Source organism: Homo sapiens, chromosome 12, assembly GCF_000001405.40.
Source record: "Homo sapiens chromosome 12, GRCh38.p14 Primary Assembly".
NCBI classification, from domain to species: domain Eukaryota; kingdom Metazoa; phylum Chordata; class Mammalia; order Primates; family Hominidae; genus Homo; species Homo sapiens.
Window position 1 is genome coordinate 64,456,983 of NC_000012.12, and position 25,464 is coordinate 64,482,446.

General features: G+C 37.4%; 1 protein-coding gene across 4 annotated transcripts in view, besides 1 other annotated feature; it reads left to right on the forward strand.

Annotated features, from left to right (window-relative positions):
- TBK1 (TANK binding kinase 1) overlaps window positions 1–25,464 on the forward strand; it is a 49,995-nt gene that overhangs the window by 4,863 nt on the left and 19,668 nt on the right. For all 4 annotated transcript variants that reach the window (XR_007063071.1, XM_005268810.2, XM_005268809.2 and 1 more), the window contains exons 3-8: window positions 3,207–3,347; window positions 7,352–7,481; window positions 9,919–10,100; window positions 17,248–17,408; window positions 23,030–23,140; window positions 24,860–25,039. Coding sequence is in view for 3 of the 4 variants with exons in the window: in XM_005268810.2 (XP_005268867.1) it covers window positions 3,207–3,347; window positions 7,352–7,481; window positions 9,919–10,100; window positions 17,248–17,408; window positions 23,030–23,140; window positions 24,860–25,039 (905 nt within the window). In the remaining variant the exon portion in view is untranslated. The remainder of the gene's footprint in view (window positions 1–3,206; window positions 3,348–7,351; window positions 7,482–9,918; window positions 10,101–17,247; window positions 17,409–23,029; window positions 23,141–24,859; window positions 25,040–25,464) is intronic.
- Window positions 2,512–2,561: an enhancer, noted in NCBI's record as "active region_6593". NCBI's record gives its function as "activates an Ori minimal core promoter by ATAC-STARR-seq in GM12878 lymphoblastoid cells {active_cell/tissue: GM12878}" and the evidence as "EXISTENCE:reporter gene assay evidence [ECO:0000049][PMID:35858748]".

Genomic DNA, 25,464 nt, shown 5'->3' on the forward strand with positions numbered 1-25,464 from the left:
AGCTGGAAAAATGGAGTACAAAGTTCATTTATAATACAAATAATAACTAATTTTTCAGTGCTATGAATTTGTTTCGAGCTAAATGATGTTTGGAGCTTCCTAAATCCTTATTTTCAGAAACAGGGCCCTAAACGTTTTAGTAGAGAGGAATTGCTTCCTCTTTTCCTGTATTCTTGAGACTACCAGTCAGTTCTGTCAGTGACGATGAGATAAGCGTACATGGGGGAGGGGCTGTTTCCTCTGGGGAGAGAATATTGACTATAAACACCCTTTATGGCTCATAGAGAATGAATCAGAAGTACCATACAGACAACTTTTAGCTTTCCTCCCCCTGTATCTAGAATTATCCACAAGCTCTGGATTCTTATTCAGATTACTTGCGATCAATCCTGGGTACTCCGTCCTAGAAATTGCTTTTGTTTTATGCCAAGGAGAAAATGACTAGTGCCTCAGAATTTAGCATTGAGAACACGTCTGATCATCTTATCTTCCTGTAGTCCAAATTAACAAACTTTTAATAATCACTTGGTATGTGTCAGGCACTATGGCAGACCTAGTGAATATTACTATAGCTAATGTGCGGTTAGCTATACTGCACATTAACTGGACACAGTTTCGAGTTTAGTAGCAAGATTGATTAGAAAGGAAGTAAAGTGGAAGCTGATGGGATGAGAGATAGTCAATAGTGATAGAGACTGGATGAGACATATTGAAAGGGCCTGGCACTAGAAGATACGTCACATATCCTGCTCCTCTTTCCTTACTTAGATACTCAGTGTTCTTCATGTAAGTGACTACACATAGTATGCACTCTGTAAATGTTTGCTGAATGAAAGAATAAGTGAATGAATGAGGACTGATTAGACTACCCCAAGACAACCTAAAGTTCTCCAAAGGAAACAAATATGTACTTTACCCATTATAGTGTGGAAATCTAAAATGAGAATTTCAGAAGTATAAGAATTAATTAAAAGATTGTGAAGTCGAGCATGGTGGCTCACGCCTGTAATCCCAGCACTTTCGGAGGCCAAGGCAGGTAGGTTGCTTGTGCCCAGGAGTTTTGAGACCAGCCTGGGCAACATGGCAAAACCCTGTCTCTACTAAACACACACACACACACACACACACACACACACACATACACACACGAAAAAGATTGCCAAGGCCCAGTCTAGTATTTAGTCCCCAACAGTTTTCCTAGGGATGTGCTTTGAGAAACCATATTTGTTCTTAATGATGGCAGTTGCAACTGTTTAGGACTATATCCTACAAAAAATCCTGCTTCCCTTTAACTATTTAAAGGATTTTTACCATGATATTAGCCCTTTTATATTATTTCTTAGAATGACCAAATTCTTACATTTATTACTTGTTATTCAAAGTATATTACCTACTTAATCTGTTTTTTATTAAATTGCTTTTAGTTACTAAAGTATGAGTGTGGGTGTGTGTATATGTGTGTGATTACCATGGTGAAGTTTAAGGGAAGAGACTTGAAGGATGTGTTGATCTGCACATATGGATATATACATATATATATATATATATATGGATCTCTATTATTTGTATACACTTTGACTTAGTGAATAATAGATGACTGTGTAGGTGAATAAAGGGAAAATAGTACGTTTCCACCTGGATCCCGATAATCTCACAGGCATGATGTAGTCTACACAAGTTTGGAAAATAATGACCATGAGGTCAGTGGGTATATTGCAAAATTGTATTATTTTCCCTGCTTGCTCCTCTGTTAGGATTCTCCTAGTTTTAGACTGAGTTTGAGGCCTGTCTCAGCTTAAGAAAAATCACTCTGTTGGGTGATGCATAGATTTGGCAGTGTCTTAACCCTTGCTGAACTGAGGGAAAAACAGTGAAACTGAACTGTACTTAAATTCTTCTCTTTTCATATGTGTGAAAATGGTCATTGGCTCTTTGATCTTTCATCTTCCTCTAGAAAGAATATATATCAATTTGTGTATTTTGCATGACCAGGGTGAGGGGAATCACATAGGATTATGAAGCAGTTAAATGGCCTTAAGAAAAGGATCATGCGATTCTGGAGTGAGAGAGGAGGGTGATGGCTCTAAGTGGTGAATCTGAGGAAAGTATAAAGAGGGCTCCAAAGCAGGAACAGTACAGAGGTCCTGACAGAGAGCCATGAAATGTCTTTAGCCATGAAATGTGCTTGAACCCCAAGCTCAAAGAGAAAAGGATTTTCCTGCTTGCTCTAGGGAAGTTCAACCTTGGATAAATGGGGGAAAATGTAAGGCTAAACTCAAGATCTGGACTGGCCACGAGGGAGAGGCTTGCTCATTAGAGTGATTGGAAGGAAGTGAGAGGGTCTGAAAGACAATCTTAAAGGAAGGTTAATAAGAAGAACATATAAATATGATGTTTGCCTGAAATGTAAGCATGTGTTTTGAACCTCTAAGATTCCCTCCCAACTACAGCTGTGCTTTGTAATTTTGTGTGTGATGTAGGTCATGAAAGAGTGAGAGTGGGATGCTGTGGTACATCAGTAGAGAAGAAGAAATAAATGCCTTTACTCCTCTAGAGAGGGTCTGTGAAGGAACAGCCTGCCCTGGTCATCTAGGTAGAATTGCAGAAAGTAACCCAGGGCAGCAGGGGCAGAAACCAACCAGGAAGTCTACTTTAGCCTCGCTCTGCAACTCCTGCTTTCCCCACTCCCCTCCCCCACGTTGTCCTAGCTACAAAATAATTCTGAAAAGTTAACTGTATTACTTTGATATTCTTAATAAAAATCTCATAGGTGGAATATAGTGTTCAGTCTCTCTCTCCTGCTTTGATTAGTTTAAAATTATTAGGCCTTGGAGAAGCCCTTATGAGTTTCACTTTCTATTTCGTCTTTAAAAGATGATTTTGCTTTTGATACTATTATGGCTTTTATCTTCTGATGTGTGACTATTTTTGCCCCTACTGTATCCTCATGAAAGGTTTATTTATAATATGAAAGAAAATATCCATTTCTGAATTCCAAAAGGTGTAATTTGAAAGAAATGTTGAGCAGTTAATTGATTCATTTTAACTTTTTAGAAAAGTCAAAAGTCCTCATACAGATTCCCTGTGCCTAAAAGATGCATGATGTTCTGTAAGAAAATAAGTTGCAATAGCGAGTTCTAATGCTACCTTTTAATCTCTTTTACAATATTATGAATAAATAAAACATTTCTCTCTCTTTTTTAAAGAAAACTGGTGATTTATTTGCTATCAAAGTATTTAATAACATAAGCTTCCTTCGTCCAGTGGATGTTCAAATGAGAGAATTTGAAGTGTTGAAAAAACTCAATCACAAAAATATTGTCAAATTATTTGCTATTGAAGAGGAGGTAAGTAGTAAAACTTCAATCTTATATTTATTGTAGTTACGAGTCAAGAAATAGAACCTAATATTAAAAAATGGATTTTTTAAAAAACTGTTGAAAATTAGGGTTTGTACAACCAAATACTTTATCCTAAAGGATTCTTGAATATATAGAACAATAGAAATAAAATATCATAAAAATGGAATCAGAAACAGTAGTGTAAGAAATAAAAGGGGGCGGCCGGCTGCGGCTGGGTGCAGTGGCTCACACCTATAATCCCAGCACTTTGGGAGACCGAGGCAGGTAGATCATGCGGTCAAGAGATTGAGACCAGCCTGGCCAATGTGGTGAAACCCCGTCTCTACTAAAAATACAAAAATTAGCTTGGCATGGTGGTGCGCACCTGTAGTTCCAGCTACTTGGGAGGCTGAGACAGGAGAATTGCTTGAACCCAGGAGGCAGAGGTCACAGTGAGCTGAGATCGCACCACTGCACTCCAGCCTGGCAACAGAGGGAGACTCCATCTCAAAAAAAAAAAAAAAAAAAGAAAGGATCATTTGAGCTCAGGAATTCAAGAACAGCCTGGGCAACATGGCAAAACCCTGTCTCTGTAAAAAATACAAAAATTTGCCATGCATGGAGGTGTACGCCTGTAGTTCCAGCTACTCAGGAGGCTGAAGTGGGAGGATCACCTGAGCCTGAGAGGTCAAGGCTATGGTGAACCATATTGTGCCACTGTACTCTAGCATGGGTGATGGAGTGAGACCCTGTCTCAAAAAAAAAAAGAAAGAAGGAAATAAAAGGGTATTGAATATGGTTACCAGTATTATTACTAGAAAAAGAAAGGTAACAAGTTAAATCTAATAATTATAAAGAGAAAAAATAATTATAAAAAGAAAAAATCGAACTTTAAAAAAATAAAAATTTTGTATTTCATGAATAAAAATTTCAAGAGTCCTACAGTTTAAGATATGAAGTCCAATTATAAAAGAATTGATTTTTTTAAGGGGAAATAGTGGAATTAAGAATGTCATTAGGAAAAGTAATCTAGAAATAATGGAAATAGAAATTATTTTAATCCCTTTAAACATGAGCAATCAATAAAATCTTTGGGAAAAAATGTAGTTTATACTCTTTATCCGAGTGATTTTATTTTTAGTGATTATTTCTTAGGAAGTAATCAGAAATATAATTTTATGCATGAAGATGTTAATTGGCATCCTGTTTATAATAAAGAATGGTTAAATAAGTTGAATAAATTAGAATGTGTGGCAGATAGTTACCTGGAATTAGCCAAACTCAAGATTAAGAGCATAGCCTTCCACACTGCCAAGTCTGCTCAAGACTTTTGATACCAATTGCAAAGGAGTTTGGCAAACTGCACAGAGAGAACAGTTCCCACAAGATTACCCTCACATCATCCCAGCCGGCTACAAATGTGGGGGTTGCCCATGACACTCAGGTTTGGTAATTTGCTGGAATGTAGAAATGACTCACAAAACTGAGGAGAGTGCTATACTTATAATTACAGTTTTATTGTAGCAAAAAGATAGAAATTAGAACCAGCCAGAGGAAGAGACACAAAGCGTGGAATGTGGGAGGGTTCCAATCTTGAAGCTTCTTTGTCCTGAGGGACACATTACTCTCTCAGCATTGATGTATGACAGTATGCATGAAGTATTGCCAGTCAGGGAAGCTCACCCAAGCCTTTGGTGTCCAGGGTTTTTACTGAGGCTGGATCATTTATTGCCTGTATTGCTGACCTTTAGTCCCCAGCTCCTTCCAGAAGTTTGGGGTAATTCCTTTAGTCTCCATTAAGCCCCCATCCTAAATCATGCTGTGAGACTCTCCAGTGGCCAAAGCCCCCAGAGGAACAAAGACAGAAGTCTTGTTCTTTCAGATAGGACATTTTAGGGGCCAGAGATCACTGTCCAGTAGCCAAGGGCAAAGCCTGACTTCTCTTTGGGTAAAGTTAATTTTTTACCACACAATAGTTAAGTGGTAATGAAAAGAGATATTTACCAAAATTTTAATCTTCTTGGAACACCTTATATATGATGTTATGTGAGAAGAATCAGGATTAAAAATATATATGTAGTATGATCTTAACATATACAGTGTAATATGCAAACAGCATTATGTATCTATGACATTATTTCATCCATAGAAAAAAGACTGAAAGAAAATACGCCAAAATATTAATTCATTATCTCCAGGTAATGGAATTATGTATACTTCCCAAATTTTCAACAATCAACATACATTATCATTTAAAAGCAACAGTTTTTTTTTTCTACTATGATTATTTCTCTCTCTTTTTTGAAATGACTGCCAGAGAGTAATTTAAAATATTTTATAAAAGTGTTTTGGAGATATGTAGAAAAAAATTAGAAAAGAAACAAAGGATAAAAAGTTGGAGATGAATAGTAGATTTTAAGACTCATTCAGATTTTCAGATTCTGAAATTGTCATGCATCTTATAATCATTGTGTATATATAATTTGATGGTATTTCTTTTTCCCCGTAATGCTGTTATTAAATTGATGAAGCATTATAATCAATGGTACATTAAAATTAAGGTTTAAAACAAATCAGCATCTCAGATGCAAATGAGCAGACTGGAGCTTTGCTGCAAGAGGGACCACTCAGCTGTTCTGCTACCCATTTATTTTTAAGGATAGGACTCCATTCCTTGAAGTAACAGTAGTCATCATAAGAAAAATTTCATTTTAAGAGGTTAGAAGAGCTGTTGTCCTAAATGTACTGTTATACATAAGAAATTCAGCACTGGTGTGGTGACTCACGCCTGTAATCCCAGCACTTTGGGAGGCCGAGGTGGGCGGATCACGAGGTCAGGAGATCGAGACCATCCTGGCTAACATGGTGAAACCCCGTCTCTACTAAAAATACAAAAAAATTAGCCGGGTGTGGTGGCACTCGTCTGTAGTCCCATCTATTCAGGAGGCTGAGGCAGGAGAATGGAGAGTGGCGTGAACCCTGGGAGGCAGAGCTTCCAGTGAGCCGAGATCGCGCCACTGCGCTCCAGCCTGGGTGACAAAGCGAGACTTTGTCTCAAAAAAAAAAAAAAGAAGGAAAGAAAGAAATTCAAGTGACTGGGTGTGGTAGCTCATGCTTGCAATCCCAGCACTTTGGGAGGTTGAGGCAGGCAGATTGCTTGAGCCCAGAAATTCGAGACTAGCCTGGGCAACATAGTGAGACCCCGTCTCTACAAAATAATAGAAAAATTAGCCAGGCATGGTGGAGCATGCCCGTAATCCCAGCTACTTGGGAGCTGAGGCAGGAGAATCACTTGAACCTTGGAGGTGGAGGTTGCAGTGAGCCAAGATCGTACCATTGCACTCCAGTCTGGGTGACAGAGCAAGACTCTGTCTCAAAAAAAAAAAAAAAGAAAGGAATTTAAGATGATTTTAACAAAACCATTGTAACATTGTACCAATGATTTTGTAGTTCAGATTTAGCTACTTTTTACTGTGGTTTGTCTTCAAAAACAAATCCAACTTCTTCACCTAATAGGAATTTGGAAAATGTTAGTTTTTTTTTTTTGTTTTTTTTTTTTGAGATGGAGTCTCGCTCTGTCACCAGGCTGGACTGCAGTAGTGCAATCTCGGCTCACTGCAACTTCCGCCTCCCAGGTTCAAGTGATTCTCCTGCCTCAGTCTCCTGAGTAGCTGGGACTAGAGGCATGTGCCACCACACTCAGCTAATTTTTGTATTTTTAGTAGAGACCGGGTTTCAGCATGTTGGCCAGGATAGTCTCAATCTCTTGACCTCGTGATCCGCCCACCTCAGCCTCCCAAAGTGCTGGGATTACAGGCGTGAGCCACCACACCCGGCCGGAAGATATTAATTCTTATATGTGTATGTTCAACAGATACTGAATCTCAGGTGAAGCAAAGTGCCTTCATCATTGTAGCAAATCCTACATTTAAATGAAATCAGATAAGTACTGGCATATAATCAAAATTTATTTTTTATGTTGATTCCCAATCAATGATTTTTTTTTTCAGACAACAACAAGACATAAAGTACTTATTATGGAATTTTGTCCATGTGGGAGTTTATACACTGTTTTAGAAGAACCTTCTAATGCCTATGGACTACCAGAATCTGAATTCTTAATTGTTTTGCGAGATGTGGGTATGTTTGTTTATTTATATGATATCATTTGTATATAAAATTTAATAACAGAATTTTTAAAAAATATCTTCCATTCAAAACTGAAGACCTTTATGCAATGCTTCATTAGATATGACACCAAAAGCACAAATACCAGAAATACATAAATTGGATTTCATCAGCATTAAACATTTTTGGGCCTCAGAGGACATCAGGTAAGTGAAAAGACAGCCCATAGAATGAGAAAAAAATGTTTGTAAATCATACACCTGACAAGGGATTTTTATCCAGACAACTCAACAATAAAAAGCCAAATAACCCAATTTAAAAATGGGCAAAGGATTCGCATAGACATTTCTCCAAAGAAGATACACAAGTGGCTAACAAGTACATAAAAAAAAGCTCAACATTAATTAATTAATAACCGACATCATTGGTTATTAGGGAAATGCTCATCAAAACCACAATGAAATACCACTTTATACCAATGAAAATGACTAATATCAAAAAGACAAACAGGGCCAACCATGGTGGCTCACGCCTGTAATCCCAGCACTTTAGGAAGTGGAGGCCGGCAGATTGCTTGAGTCCAGGAGTTCAAGATCAGCCTGAGCAACACAGTGAGCCCCTGTCTCTACAAAAAATAAAATAAAAAATAGCCAAGCATGGTGGCATGCACTTGTAGACAGCTACTCAGGAGGCTGTGGTGGGAGGATCACTTGAGCCCAGGAGATTGAGGCTGCTGTGAGCCTTGATTGTGCCACTGCACTTCAGCCTGGGCAACAAAGCAAGACTATCTCAAAAAAAAAAAAAAAAAAAAAACAAGTGTTGGCAAGAATATGGAGAATTGGAACCCTGATACATTGCTGGTAGGATTATAAAATGATACAGCCATTCTAGAAAACAGTCTAGAGTTCCTCAAAAAGTTAAATATAGAATTATTTAACTTTTGACCAAATGACCCAGCAGTTCCACTGCTACGTATATACCCCAAAGAATTAACATATCCATATAAAAACTTGTACTCCAGTGTACTTAGCAGCATTATTCATAATAGCAAAAAAAAAAAAAGATGAAAACAGCCCAAATGTCCATCAACTGATGAACAGATAAACAAAAATGTGGTGTGTCTATACAATGGAATATTGTTTGTTTACAAAAAGATATGAAGTAGTTATATATGCTACAACATGGATGAACTTGAAAACATTATGCTAAGTGAAAGAAGCCAGACACAAAGGCTGCAATATTATATGATTCCATTTATATGAAATGTCAAGAATAGGCAAATCCATAGAGACAGAAAACAGATTAGTGGTTTCTGGGGGATCAGGAGAAGATGGAGTTGGGTATGAGTTGTCTTTTTGGTGTGACAAAAGTATTCTGAAATCAGTGGTGATGGTTGTATAACTCTGTGACCATACTAAAAATGACTGAATTGTACACTTTAAAAAGATGAATGTTATGTTTGAATTATATCTCAGTGAACCTATTTTTTAAAAAAAATACTGCAATCAAAGGAAATAACATCTTAAGAGAAATGAATCAAATATTTGAGGAATGGGAAAAAGTCAAGTGATAAGGTAAAAGGTTGGTGGGAATTCTTGAACTTGTCACTGGAAGCAGAGTGATTATTTAGGTGAGGATACAATGAGAGAGAAACAATATTACTAGTATGCTACAGCCTGTTTAATCAAATAGAAATTATAGATATGATGTCTTCCTAAGTGTATTGGTAGTCCTGAGTTTTAATAATTATACATTGATACCCCTAAACCTTTTACATATTTTGAATTTGAACATTCATCTATCAGCCCTCAAGCAAATGTATAAAGTTATCACTCAGTGACACTGTCAGTTAGACAAAATAGCTTAATTTCAGCAAAGTAGACAACTTTGCCCTTAAGAAAAAAGAAGAAAAAATGGGCTTTTTGGAATAGTGCCAAGCATATGAGAATACATTTTTACAGAAACAAGTTTGACACTTTGCTGTTTTTCTGTTTCTTTTTTGCTGTTTTACATATTGAGTTCAGTTTACTTTTAGGGAATTTTTTTTCCCAAGATAAAGAAATGTAAAACTCTGGTGAAAGATTGATATCTTTTTTGGGAATCTTTATTATTTTTATGTTTAAACAGATCACCCACATATATATAACCAAAGTAATTCAAGAAATCATATGCTTAAGACTGTTTTGTTACATTTTCCTGGTAGTACTTAAGAGACACTGGATTTTTCCTTAGACCACATTAATTTTTATCATTCTAAAACTTCTTATAACTAAAACATAACATCTTTTATATATATATATTTATTATCTATTCTTTGAGTAAAATTACTTTGAACCAAATTATGGAAAAATTTATATTAAGTTTGGGTGACTATATCAATGAATTTGAGACATGCACACATACACGTAAATATCTACATTATGACTTCTTTTGTTTTATATTGTTGAAGTGGGTGGAATGAATCATCTACGAGAGAATGGTATAGTGCACCGTGATATCAAGCCAGGAAATATCATGCGTGTTATAGGGGAAGATGGACAGTCTGTGTACAAACTCACAGATTTTGGTGCAGCTAGAGAATTAGAAGATGATGAGCAGTTTGTTTCTCTGTATGGCACAGAAGAATATTTGGTAAGTCATGTATCACTAATATTTTCATTTAAAGAAGCTTGATATATTGTAATTATAATTGGGTAATTGGTCAGCCAATTCACTATAAAATGTCATTTTTATGACAAAAATTAAATTTTCTATTCTAATGAATATGTGCAACATGGGAATTAGGTACTCGCTTCCAAGGGTGCTGTTATTTTTCTATTAAAAATTCTTGGAAGTTTTGTAGCACCCTTAAATTCTTTAGTTTTACTGATGCTATGGATCTAAATTAAAAGGGTCTGTTTTTTGATGAGCAGTCAGCATATTACAAGCTTGTTATAATACTGTTTTTTATATATTCATTATATTTATGAAACAGATAATTCTATTTGGGGGAGTTGGTTATTGAATGACGAAAAGGACCATTGTTAGAAACACACACACACAAAATGCCCCTGAGAAGATCTAACTTGAAATTTTAGAAAGCTAGAAAAGCTCTGTAGTTGAAAAAGTTTATGTAGGTGTGTTTTTGTAAAGTCAGTAAATATTTGAAATACTTAAGAAAATATACTTAAAAGTAAATACTTTTAACATGTAATCAGGAAGTTTAATATATATAGCTCACTGATTATTCATGGCTTTGGGTTTTGTCTTAAAAGTCATAGAATCAATGACTTTTTTGCATTTGGATTGTGCTGTTGTAATTTTATAAGATGAAAGATATCTACCACACCCTGTAGCTTTATTCAGATTATTCTAAGTCTGGCATGAACTAAATGTCTTAAATTGTTATCCTAACAATTGGTAACCTCAAATTGATCTGTAGATATATGTGATGATCTTTTAGATAAGAGTACCTAAGAATGGGTCAGACACAGTGGCTCATGCCTATAATTCCAACACTTTGGGAGGCTGAGGATTGCTTGAGCCCAGGAGTTCAAGACCAGTCTGGGCACAATGACAAGACCCCATCTCTGCAAAAAATTACAAAATTAGCCAGGCATGGTGGCGCACATCTGTACACCCAGCTACTCAGGAGGCTGAGGCAGAAGGATCCCTTGAGCCCAGGAATTTGAGGCAACAGTAAGCTATGATTGCACCACTGCAATCTGGCCTGGGCTATAAAGCAAGACTCTGTCTCTTAATTTTTTAAAAAAAGGTACCTGGCCCAGGCATGGTGGCTCATGCCTGTAATCCCAGCACTTTGGGAGGCCGAGGTGGGCAGATCACAAGTTCAGGAGTTTGAGACCAGCCTGAGCAACATGGTGAAACCCCATCTCTACTAAAAATACAAAAATTAGCTGGGTGTGGTGGCGTGTGCCTGTAATCTCAGCTACTTTGGGAGGTTGAGGCAGAATTGTCTGAACCTGGGAGGTGGAGGTTTCAGTGAGCCGAGATCGTGCCACTGCACTCCAGCCTGGGTGACAGAGCGAGACTCCGTCTCAGAAAAAAAAAAAAAAAGTACCTAAAAATGGATTTTATTCATTCATTGCACAAATATTTATGAAGTGCCTACTATATACCAGATACTGTTCTAGGTGCTCAGACTTCTATGGTGAACTACATACACAGTATTCCTGCTCTTATGGAGCCCACGTTCTGGTAGGGAAAAAAGACAATTAACAAGTAAGTAAAGTAAATTCAGATCATTAAAGTTTAGCAAAGACAATAAATTAAGGTAATAAGATAAAGAGTGACTAGCAGGAGAAACATAGCCTGGGAAAGCCTCCTTTGAGGACTAAATGAACTGACACTGAAATGATAAAAAGAAGCAAGCCAGGCACAGCGTTCTGACTGCTGTTCTGTGCCGTTCCCTGGCCCTGTGAAAGCTACCTCCCCCTGCAGAAAAGAAACTCAACCACCAGTCCTCATACTCCTCGGCAGTTCCCTCCATCTCTGCTTGCTGAGAACCTACTGCATCAGTCTAGCCTACTGCATCAGTCTGAACCCTACTGCATCAGTCTAGCCTCCTCTCCCCTACAACCTGTGTTGTTGAGGGCCCAGGATGCCTATGGGGTCCTCTGGCTGTCTGAGTTGTGACGTATGAGCTGCTTTGTGATACAGTGAACTCCCTGTCATTGTGGATCTGGAGAATGTGTCATAGAACCTAGATAGCAGAGGGAAGTACAGTTGTAATGAATTCACCTTCAAGCTTCCTGAGACTCTTGGCTGGAACAGAGGCAGGACTCAGACGTTTCTGGCGAGTGGAATCAGGCTTCATATCCTGAATTCTCCACGTGAATGTAAGCTCCACAAAACCAGGGACTTTCATCTTAGCCTACCGAGAACACCAAGCAGAATTAGACAAGAAGAAATCACCCCCTTCCTGCTCCTTTCTCCGTCCTACATGACATTTGTGCTTTTGCTATTATCCTTTTGTCTCTTCCTGGGCCTCAACATGTGACTGAGTCAACACACATCTTCATTCTCATTTCTCTGTTGGTGGTCTTCTCAGTTATATTTGGCTAGACCATGCTTTCTGCTTCTAGAAGCAACACTGCTGAATTCACACCAGAGCTTTGGTACAAGGCAACTTCCTGATTCCTTCACTTTCCCCAGTTCAGACATTCCCCTTGTCTTTTCTCTTAGAGCAGTGAGCCTCCAATAAATAGCTCAAGGCCATGTTCTTCCAGACTGCCTCCTTTCCAGTAGCAAGCTCAAGCGCGTGTCCTTCAAATTCAATGATTAGATAAGATAACTTGTTCAAAAATTCAATTTCTCTCTTTCTCTTTCTCTCACCCAGTACTTTTTTTTTTTCCCCAACCCCACTTTCTGTAAGAACAGCCTATTTCTAAAAGCTAGTTCACCAGGCCCAGCTCCTTGTCTCTGGAGCCCACACCTGTCATAGCCAAAGCCACAGTAGATGAATGCTCAGGACACTACTGTTCCCAGGAGGGCACTGCTTGCCAAGGTTTACTGCTCTAAGAATGTTCTTGGGCTTCAGTCTGGTTCCATCAGGCCCAGAGAAAACAGCAGCTGTAAAGGCCTGGAGACAAGAATGACCTCAGGAGTTGGAGAAACAGAAAAGATGGCAGTTTTACTGGAATTTAGTGAGTAAAGAGGCAAGTGGAAGGACTTAGAATTAAAGAAGTGATCAGGGGGCTAGCCAGATCAGACAGGCTAGTAGTTTAAACCCTGTCAGACCAATACCCCCTTGTTATAATAAATATTTTGTAGTGTTCCCTTCAGTATCTTGAAATGAAATTCCTAGATAATATTATAAACCTGCACACCTAATTAAAATAGCATATCTTAATAATGTAAAGGAACATATTTTATAATAAAATAATAGATATTTAATATGTAAAAATTTAGAAACAGCTTCATGAGCAAACAAGTAGTGATATATGCTTGCAGCTATATGTAATACTACTTTGAATACAAGTGCAGTGATAACTCATGTTGTATTAGTGAATCACATCACAAATGGTAGTATTGTTATTGACATGATTTTCCAAAGTAGTGAACAATTTTTGGTAAAGTTTCTAACTAAAAGTAAATTTAAATATAGTTACATTCTTGGAAAAGCTGTACAAAAATACTTTGTTATATATAAAATGGAGTTCGAAATAGATTTCTCACTTGCACAAGTATCTGGCAGAATATTCCAAAGTCATTCAGGCTATATATAGGAGGATCATTTTTCAGAACTGTCACATACACTGCAGTATGTCCTTCAGTGTCTGGTCTCCGCCTTTTCCAATCATGATAATCACTGTAACAAGCAAACAGCAGTCCTGTACCAGCCTTCATGAGGTTGCTCCCCCAATACCAACTATTAATCTTTCATGTAACCTCCTGGGAACACAGTTTAGCTTTTGCCTCTAAGACTTTTAACAGGAAGAGCAAAACATTAAATAAATTAATTCCAAGTCTGTGCTGTACTCTAGGCTGAAATTTAACCCCATTCTATTTATTTCCTATTTCAGAATGGGAAATATTCAAATACAGTGCACCAGAATGAGATAAATAATAGTCTAAGGCTCAGCAGCCTAGCTATATTCTACATTTAACTGGAAACTTCCCTCGTTTTGAAGCTCCCAGGAACTACAACCCATATGTTAAATTCTCTCTCTTTTGTATGTTAAAGTCCAAAGAAAACATTCTTCTACTGTTTTTTGTTTTTGTTGTTGTTGTTATTGTGACAGAGTCTCAATCTGTTGCCCAGGCTGGAGTGCAGTGGCATAATCTCAGCTCACTCAAGCTCCACCTCCCAGGTTCAGGTGATTCTTATGTGCCAGCCTCCTAGATAGCTGGGGTTACAGGTGCACACCACCACACCTGGCTAATATTTTTGTGTCTATATATATATATGTATACTTTTGAGACAGAGTCTCACTCTGTTGCCCAGGCTGGAGTGTAGTGGTGCCATCCTAGCTCACTGCAACCTCCACCTCCTGGATTCAAGCAATTCTCCTGCCTCAGCTTCCCAAGTAGCTGGGATTACAGGTGTGTGCCACTACACCCAGCTAATTTTTGTATTTTTAGTAGAGATGAGGTTTCACCATGTTGGCCAGGCTAGTCTCAAACTCCTGACCTCAAGCGATCCACCCACCTTGGCCTCCCAAAGTGCTGGGATTACAGGATGTGAGCCACCACACCCTGTCTCTTCTACTGTTTTTAATATGATGGATATCATCTCAGTAATATAATCCTGAAAACCTTGGAGTAGCTTTATCCTTATGCTCTTCTTCCAGATGCAATAGCCCAGGCCCAGTAACACCAAGCCAGTAACACATCAGGACAGAGCCAGTGGGCACAAATGTATCAGACCAGCATGTGTCAAGCCACCCCAAGTTAATCACTCCCAGGGAATAGCTTCCAGCTGTACCAATTAGGCAGTATATTATTGCACCGTGTGAGGAGGTCCGTCTTTGTCTCCTTCTGGAATCACTGTGTCCCCTCTTCCCAGGAGGCTTTATATTCCAGAAGGCATCAGACATATCCAGGTACTTTTGGCCTCTTCATGACACCATTTACACACTAAGTACCAGCTGCTAGGTCAAAGGTTTGGCAATCACTTCTTTGGACAATAATCACTTTATGTGCTGTGCTACAGAACCAGCAAAGCCACTGAGATCCCATATATCTAGTAGGCATATGTTTGGACACTCACGTCAATACCCAGTTCTTATACTTGTCTGCATTCTGATTTCTCATTAAAATGTGTTTCTCAAAAGAGTCTTTTTCCCACCCCCATCTCCAGCACCCCCCCACCACCCCGACCCTCAGAAATCAGAGATTGTGATCCTTTGGGAGTGAGAGTCACAGATTGCATCATTTAGAAGCCCCTCCCAGCAGCATTTCCTACACTGGTTCCCAGTTCCCTGGGCCATAGCTAAATCCTACAATGTCATAAGGAATTGTTTTGGTTTGGGATCATTTAGGTGGTAACTCTACTTTGGTCCATACGTACACTTTTCAAGATTTATCTTCCAAAAATCTTCAAGTTGCAAGTGTATAACTTTCATGAAGGCAGATGGCAGGAGGCCATGCTGTGTGTGACCACTGGTTATTCTCTGCAGAACAAAATGTCCATCAGAATATCTGTTAGGTTTTGTGAGCTCCTAAACAATTTCTTAGAAGCTCCATCTGTTCTCAGTGACTATGGTATTAGTGCAGAGTGTCCAATCTTTTGGCTTCCCTGGGCTACACTGGAAGAATTGTCTTGGGCCACATATAAAATATGATAGATTATCTTGGGCCACACATAAAATAATGATAGCTGATGAGCTATTTTAAAAAAATCACAAAAAACCTCAATGTTTTAAGAAAGTTTATGAATTTGTGTTGGGCCACATTCAAAGCTGTCCTGGGCTACATGTGGCCCACAGGCTGCAGGTTGGACAAGCTTGGTGTAATATGTCCTATGTGTAAGGACGTGTGTTTAATGTCAGTAGATCCCCAGTGAACCCAGTCAAGTTAGTCCTCTGAATTGATTCTAGAGAATTTAATTTCATTAAATTAAATGCACTTACCCTGACAGATTGCATTTGAGGGATAAGGCAAAGAAATTAAGGCTGCCTGATAGGTTTCGGGTGTGAGCAGCTAGATATGTGGTGGTATTGTTTACTTAAAGTTTAGGAGGAAACAAGTTTAAGTGGGAAGACCAAGAGTCAATTTTGGATACGTTAAGTTTGAGCTGCCTTTTAGATATCGAGAGAATAGTAGGATATATGAATCTGAAGCTCAGGGCCCAAGGTAGTTTTGGAAGTTAAAGCATACATATGATATTTAATACATTAGGTCTGAATGGGAGATGAGGGAGTAAGGCAGTTATAATAAGCATGGACAGCTGTACTGAGAAGTTTTGCTGTGGTGGGAAGCAGAGAATTGGGTAATTGTTGAAAGGAGTTTTGTGGTCAATTTAGAGATCTTTTAAAATGGGAGATATTAAAGCATGTTTGTAAGCAGAAAGTAATGAATCAGAACAGAGGGAAACATTGCTGCATTAAATAAGTGGGATAATTACAAGAATTGATTTCTGGAATTGGCAAGATGATATGATAGGCTCTACAGCACAGATGGAAAAGTTGGCCATGTATAGGTGCAGTTCCATTGTGACTGGAAAGTAGGCCTGGAAAATGGACACAGATTGGCCAGGTGCAGTGGCTCATGCCTGTAATCCCAGTACTTTGAAAGGCCAAGGCTCTTAAGGTCCTCAAGGATCACTTGAGATCAGGAGTTCAAGACCAGCCTGGCCAACATGGTGAAACCCTGTCTCTACTAAAAATACAAAAATTAGCTAGGCATCATGGCAAGCACTTGTAGTCCCAGCTACTCAGGAGGCTGATGCAGGAGAATCACTCGAACCCGGGAAGCAGAGGTTGCAGTGAGCCGAGATCAAGCCACTGCACTCCACCCCATCTCAAAAAAAAGAGAAAAAAATAAAACGGACACAGATTCAGGTAGGTTGTATTTGGTAAAGGGCATAAGGGAGTGCTGGTCTGATTCCTTCCATTTCCACATTAAATTATGAAGCAGGGTCATCAAAACTGAGGATCAAAGGAGGTGGTGGAGGTTTGAGGAGGGAGGGGAAGATGTGAAATAGTCTTTTCAGATTGGGAAAGTGAAGTTATTAGGAAAACAAAATAGAATTTCTAAGCATTATTGAGTATCCATTTGTTTGTATAATGAAATGGGTCACAGGTTCATGATTTTTTTCTTTTTTTTTTAATCTTAGCACCCTGATATGTATGAGAGAGCAGTGCTAAGAAAAGATCATCAGAAGAAATATGGAGCAACAGTTGATCTTTGGAGCATTGGGGTAACATTTTACCATGCAGCTACTGGATCACTGCCATTTAGACCCTTTGAAGGGCCTCGTAGGAATAAAGAAGTGATGTAAGTGGTTTCCCGATCTAAAATCAGAGAAGCATTTAAAAAATGATTTCTGTCTTGGTTCATCTTATTGTTAGTGGTTTATGCTAATAAAAATTGATTTAACAATCATTTCTGATATTTTAAGCTACCTGGTTTTTAAAAAGAATGCAGCCTTATAAAAGTTTGCATAATTTTATGTTTAAGATATTTATGTTTAAATATCTTATATACACAGTATAAATGGTATTCAGTCTTTGGCCCATCATTAAAAATGTACTGCTTTCTAGACTTTATTTCAGCACACTGTTTATTTCACTCTGCATACTTGTCAGCACTTTCCTCCCATACAACTGAAAAAAAATACATAGTTCTGTGGAGTATTAGAATCATTACCAGATCTAAAACAAACATCAGTCTTACCCTAAAGTGAACTGATTCCTTTTACCATTTAAAAAATAACATTTTGGGCCAGGCGTGGTGGCTCACGCCTGTAATCCCAGCACTTTGGGAGGCTGAGGGAGGAGGATAGCTTGAGCCTAGGAGTTCCAAGACTAGCCTGAGCAACAGTGAGACCCTGTCTCTATAAAAAAATACAAACATTAGCCAGGGGTGGTGGTATGCTCCCATAGTCCCAGCTACTCAGGAGGCTGAGGTGGTAGGATCACCTGATCCCAGGAGATTGAGGCTGCTGTGAACTGTGATTGCGCCACGGCACTCCAGCCTGGGCGACAGAGTGAGACCCTGTCTCTAAATAAATAAATGAAAGAAAATTAAAAATAACATTTTGGCAGTAATGTAACATTAAACTTTTTTTTCCAGTGTTGCAGATTTGGACCAGACACTTGATATATTTTACTAGTATAATGTATACACATTTATGTATTGTCACAATTTTTTTTTAATTTCCATTTTTATTTTAGATTCAGAGGGTATGTGTGAAGGTTTAGTTAAAAGGGTATGTTGTGTAGTGCTGAGGTTTGGACTTTTGTTGATCCTATCACCCAGATAGTGAACGTGGTACCGAATAAGAAGTGTTCAGCCCTTGTCTCCTTCCCTCCCTACTTTTGGAGTCCTCAGTGTCTGTTGTTTCCATCTTTGTGTCCATCTTTGATGCATTAAATAAGTGGGATAATTACAAGAATTGATTTCTGGGATTGGCGAGACAATATGATGGGCTCCACAGCACAGATGGAAAAGTTGTGAACGCAAGATTTAGCTCTCATTTATAAGTGAGAACATAACAGTATTTGGTTTTTTGTTTCTGCATTAGTTCACTTAGGATAAAGGTCTCCAGCTGCATCCATGTTGCTGCAAAGGATATGATTTCATTCTTTTTTATGGCTGCATAGTATTCTACAGTGTATGTGTACCACATTTTTGTTATCCAGTCTGCCATTGATGGGAACCTAGATTGATTCTATGTGTTTGCTATCGTGAATACTGCTGGGATAAACATACAAGCGCATGTCTTTTTAGGTAGGATGATTTATTTTTCTTTGGTTATATACCCAGCAATGGGATTGCTGGGTCAAATGATAGTTCTATTTTTAGTTATTTGAGAACTCCAAGCTGCTTTTCGTAGGGGCTGAACTAATTTGCATTCCCACCAATAGTGTATAATTATTCCCTTTTCTCCACAACCTCACCAGCATCTGTTACTTTTTTTTATTTTTTTATAGCCATTCTGACTGGCGTGAGATGGTATCTCATTGCAGTTTTGATTTGCATCTCTTTGATGATTAGTGGTTTTTTCATGTTTGTTGGCAGCTTGCGTAGTCTTCTTTTTTTTTTTTTTTTTTTTTTTTTGAGATGGAGTCTCGCTCTGTTGCCCAGGCTGGAGTGCAGTGGTGCGATCTCAGCTCACTGCAAGCTCCGCCTCCCTGGTTCACGCTATTCTCCTGCCTCAGCCTCCCGAGTAGCTGAGACTACAGGCACGTGCCACCACACCCGGCTAATTTTTTGTATTTTTTAGTAGAGACGGGGTTTCACCATGTTAGCCAGGATGGTCTCGATCTCCTGACCTCGTGATCCACCCGCCTCGGCCTCCCAGAGTGCTAGGATCACAAGTGTGAGCCACCACACCCGGCGCATAGTCTTCTTTTGAGGAGAGTGTATTCATGTCCTTTGCTCACTTTTTAATGGGAATGTTTGTTTTTTTCTTGTTGATTCGTTTAAGTTCCTTATAGATTCTGGATGTTAGTCCTTTGTCAAATGCATAGTTTACAAATAATTTCTCCCATTCTATAGGTTGTCTGTTTATTCTGTTGAGAGTTCTTTTTGCTGTGCCAAAGCTCTTTAGTTTAATTAAGTCTCCTTTGTCTATTTTTTATTTTGTTGCATTTGATTTTGGGGTATTCATCCTGAATTATTTGCCTAAGACAATGTATAGAAGAGTATGTCCTATATTTTCTTCTAGAATTTTTGTAGTTTGAGGTCTTACATTTAAGTCTTTAATTCATCTTGAGTTAATTTTTGTATATGGTAAGAGGTAGGGGTCTAGTTTTATTCTGCATATGGTTAGCTAGTTTTCCCAGCACCATTTTTCGAATAGGGTATCCTTTCCCCCATTGTTTATTTTTGTCAACTTTGTCAAAGATATGTTGGTTGTAGATGTATGGCTTTATTTTAGGAGTCTCTATTCTGTTCCATCAGTCTGTGTATCTGTTTTTGTACCAGTACCATGCTGTTTTGGTTACCGTAGCTCTGCAGTATAGTTTGAAGTCAGGTAATATGATGCCTTCAGCTTTGTTCTTTTTGCTTAAGATTGCCTTGGCTATTCAGGCTCTGTTTTTGTTCCATATGAATTTAGAATAGTTTTTTCTAATTCTGTGAAAAATAACTGATAATTTGATAAGAATAGCATTGATTCTGTAGATTGCTCTGCGCAGTATGGATATTTTAATGATATTGATTCTTCCAACCCATGCGCATGGAATGCTTTTCCATTTGTTGTGTCATTTATGATTTCTTTCAGCGGTGTTAGTTCTTGTAGTCATCTTTCAACTCCTCAGTTAAGTGTATTCCTAGGTATTTTTGTGTCTGTGTGTGGCTATGGTAAATGGGATTGCGTTCTTGATAAAGTCTCAGCTTTGTCCGTGTATAGAAATGCTACTGATTGTTCTACATTTATTTTGTGTCCTGAGATTTGGCTGAAATTATTTATCAGGTCTAGGAGTCTTTTGGCAAAATCTTTAGGGTTTTCTAGGTTTAGAATCATACTGTCAGTGAAGAGAGATAATTTGACTACCTGTTTTCCTATTTGAATGCCTTTTATTTTTGTCTTACCTGATTGCTCTGGCTGAGACTTCTAGTACTATGTTGAATAGGAGTGGTGAGAGTGGGCATCCTTGTCTTGTCTCAGTTCTTAAGGGGAATTGCCCATTCAGAATGATGTTGGCTATTGGTTTGTCATAGATGGCTCTTATTATTTTGAGATATGTTCCTTCTGTGCCTAGTTTGTTGAGATGTATTGCCATAATTATTATGAAATAATTACTGTGTATAAAGTCATTTTTTGTAAGCCAAGGAAGAGATGGATTTCTAGATGTGAAATTAATTATAAAAATAATCCATAATTGACCACACTTCTTTTTATTTTAAAAGACATTAGTGAATAACCTTGTTTCATGAGAAGGCCAGACCACATACACATAAAACTATGATGTGAAGAATATTGAGTTTAGTGAATGGATAACAACCACTGACAGCCTAACCTGTCCAACCATTCTTTTAGGTCTTAACATATTTCTCAGACCTTTATATATTTGGCCCTATCTTTTGTTTTGTTTGTTTTGTTTTTTTGAGACAGTTTCACTCTGTTGCCCATGCAGGAGTGCGGTGGCCTGATCTCAGCTCACTGCAACCTGTACCTGCCAGGTTCAAGCAATTCTCCTGCCTCAGCCTCCCGAATAGCTGGGATTACAGGCACCCACCACCATGCCCGGCTAATTTTTGTATTTTTAGTAAAGATGGGTTTCACCACGTTGCCCAGGCTGGTCTTGAACTCCTGGCCTCAAGTGATCTGCCCCCCGCCTTGGTCTCCCAAAGTGCTGGCATTACAGGCATGAGCCACCGCACCCAGCCTGGCCCTATCTTTTATGAAGCAAACCTGACTTAAAGTAATAATCACAACTGTAAAAAGACAATTATCTAATCTCTTCTCAAAAAATTGAGGGAGAAGCATGTTTTTCCTTTTGTTGGTTGGAGGAAGTAAAACAAATTCAGATGGTACAATGACTTTTTCTATAACTTGGGTATTTAAGTGTTTTCCAGCAAGGACAGTGTACATATTTATGGGAAGAAGACACCTATTTAACTGTACTGATGATTTTGGCATAGCATCCTATTGAGCCTGCTTTATGTCATTGCCCTTTTAATGAAATCTCTTCATTAATAAAAACTGATAATTTGTGTTTTTCTCATTACACATAAATTGTGCCTAACAGTTAATCATACTTTTTTCATCATAGATAGTATCAGCCTTTAAAGCAATGTCAGCATTTCTTGCTGCCCTAAAAATGGTTTAAATAAAAGTGTGTGCTGCTCACTAATAAAGGAAACATGTGACTCATAAGCAGCTAGGAATACCTGATGATTTTATCTGACACCCTTGTGGGCAGATATACCATTAGAAGAATTTTATTTTATTAGCACAGAAACTCAACTTTTTATGAACATTGATGCTAAAGAATGTTCAGAGGTGATTGAAGTACTCAGTAATAATAATTGTTTTACTTTACTAATGAAAGATATATTCATCCAACATTATAGTAGTGCTGATTCCTCAGCATCTCATTTGCATGTTATGAATGTACTTATATGTGGATCTTATCAAAATTAAACTTTTTTAAAACTTGTAAGCATTCCCCTAAGACTTTTGCCATTTATTCTATTCACTTCTCTTTTGCATTAATCCCACACATGTGCACTTACTTCTTAGATAGTTGTCACATGAACACACCTTATTTTTCACGTTAATTTCCTCTTTGAAAAATCTCTTAAGGCAGAAATCCTGGCTGCCACTGCTGAGGAAGCAGCAAATGGTCTAAATCAGTTGTGGTGGTTTGTTCTATTTTTTAAAAAAATAATTAATTTGCTCAAAGCACATTTACTTTAATGTTAAACAAATGTGCTTTTTCCAAAATGTGCAAATGTGTGTTTTCCAGTGTGCAAAGAATCTGATACTGTGCTCTATATAGTATAATCTTTTTTGTTTTAAAGAATACTATTCATTCTGCAGAAACTTTAGTTGTGCCTTTGGATAATATGGGTAAGAGGGATTATATGCTTTTTTTCATGGTCTAGAGACATTCTGTGACACAACTTATTTTGTGTTTGCTCAGTTTTTTCAGATGGAAAAATTAATATATTTGTTGTGAACATCAAGATGCTGTTATAAAGCACTGTGAGATCTCAAATGAAAATTAATTATGGCATATATAAATAACCGTACAACCACTATTGTACTTCAGTCAGTCAGATTCAAAGTATTTTGATTGTTTTATGGATCCTGTGAGCATCAATCACAAAGTTTCATCTAGTAGATAATTGTAGGTGCAATTGAGGAAATACTTTTGCAAAGCCCATTAATAAGTCATGCAAAAATGAACTGCTTATTTTATTCTGCTTTTGTTCCTCCCAAGGTATAAAATAATTACAGGAAAGCCTTCTGGTGCAATATCTGGAGTACAGAAAGCAGAAAATGGACCAATTGACTGGAGTGGAGACATGCCTGTTTCTTGCAGTCTTTCTCGGTAAGTATGGTGTACCTAATTCTCATCTTTTGCACTTTGGTGTTTGAAATCTTTGTTGCCTAGAACCACAGATACTCAAATACTGAAGTGTAGTTTGATTTTATTTTAATTAGATATTGTCAAAGCATGTGCTTTGATAAATGATTTTTGTCTTCGTGGTGGTGAAAAGATTTATTCTCTGCTATATGAATAATTTCCCAAGATCTTCATTAGGACACAGGGCATACATTTTTGAGATTGGTAATCACTGGTCTTGGAATTCTTCCCAGTGTAGGGATCATGCTCAGGACCTTAGTATCTTTTGTAATGACCTCCATATTGATGGATAACAAATAGTGGATTAGATATGAGTAAATTTCTCAACTGGAGTTGTAAAAAGCAAACAATGAAGAGATTTAGTATTATCTTCATTTTAAAAAATTCAAATTATTCAAAGGGTGAGAAATAATAGTTTTTTGTACTTTTTAGCATTTCAAATGTTCATTTGGGTCTTGTTTAATGTCACAGACAGAAATCAAAAAAATTATATTGTCATTTAAGAATCCTGTTACCACAAAGAAAGAATTAAGGTAAAAGAAATTAAAAGTAGAAAGTAAATTATTTTGTATTTCACTCTGGAAACAAAGCCAAGACATGCATCGGTATTTAGTATCTGTGATTACTGAATTAGCTTCCATTTTTCTTGAGTGTGGTAGTTATATAATCCTTAATTGGACACAAGTTATGAATTAGTGGCTTATCACCTTTTTTAAGTTGTGGGTGCTTTTTGTATGACTTTAAATAAATAAATATATAAAACAAGCTAATAAAATATCACTTATCATTTTATATGTTGGGTTCTGTGAAAATTCATTTAAACCAAGAGTTCCAATGCTGAAATCATTTTCAAAAACCACTATTGTTAACAGTTTTTTGTGTGTGTTATTTTAAAAAGTTTCCAAAATGAAATCGTCATGTAACTAGATTACTAAGAGAAATTCATTGTGTTGGAGAGTAGAAATTTAATATTATAACTGTGATTTGTGTTAAATTTTTATTTAGGAAATACTCATTTTGGGGATCTCAGGCAAAACTGATAAAGTGTAAAGGGCTCAGAAAATGAACACTTGCTGGTAAATAATTATATTGCCAAAACTCAGAATCAAAAAAATCTGATGATCTGAACTGCAGCATATTTCTGGAGGGTAACAGGCATTATCTATCGAATCAGTCTTTAGCATACCAAGTTACAAATTCTTTGAGAAAAATTGCTTAGATGCCAGAAAGTATATTATATAATTTTTTTGTTTTAAATAGTAAGAACTCTAAGTACTACAAATCAGCCGTGAAAACAACTACCAGAAATGTAATGGGTCTTGGCACGGTGGCATACACCTATAATCCCACCTGCTCAGGAAGCTGAGACAGGATACTTGAGCCCCAGAGTTTGAGACTGCAATGCATAAAGCATCTGTGAATAGCTGCTGCACTTCAGCCTGGGCAACATAACAAGACCCCATTTCTAGAAGAAAAAAAGCTATAATTCCTTATTCATTGATGAGTGGCATTAAATGAAGGTTACCTAGCTTTCTGAAAAGTTGACAGATTTTAAATTTTTTAAATTAATCTAATATAGTAATAATGACAGTTCCTTTGATTTGCTGGTAAATACTATGATTTTTTAACCTAGACAGAATATGATATATTCACTCTTCAAGTAACTTTTCAATACTATTTTAGGGGTCTTCAGGTTCTACTTACCCCTGTTCTTGCAAACATCCTTGAAGCAGATCAGGAAAAGTGTTGGGGTTTTGACCAGTTTTTTGCAGAAACTAGTGATATACTTCACCGAATGGTAATTCATGTTTTTTCGCTACAACAAATGACAGCTCATAAGATTTATATTCATAGCTATAATACGTAAGTATCTCTATTTTCTTCTTGTATCAACATGTTCTGTTATATAATATTTTCCTAAGTTAGGAAAAGAAATAGAAAAGATGCCTCAGCTTCACCAAAAGTACCCATTTCCCACATGGAAAATTATATTTAAGTGCTTAGTAAATTCCTTTTCACTTATTTTTGGAGTAAAAGGATTGATAATTCTAAAATTTATAGTTAAATTAGCTTGTTTCTTAAACTGTAAGTTTTACAAAAGTACTTTCATTGCTGTGCCTTCTTTCAAGTTACATAATCACATAACCACAAATGGCATCTACCAATAAACCAGCCAGGTTTTGCTAAGTGTACTATCCTGCCATGTTAAAATATCAAAGCCTAAGTCTTCATTGTTAGCATGGTTATTTGCCTATGATAACCCTATGCAGATAATATGGTTACTATTA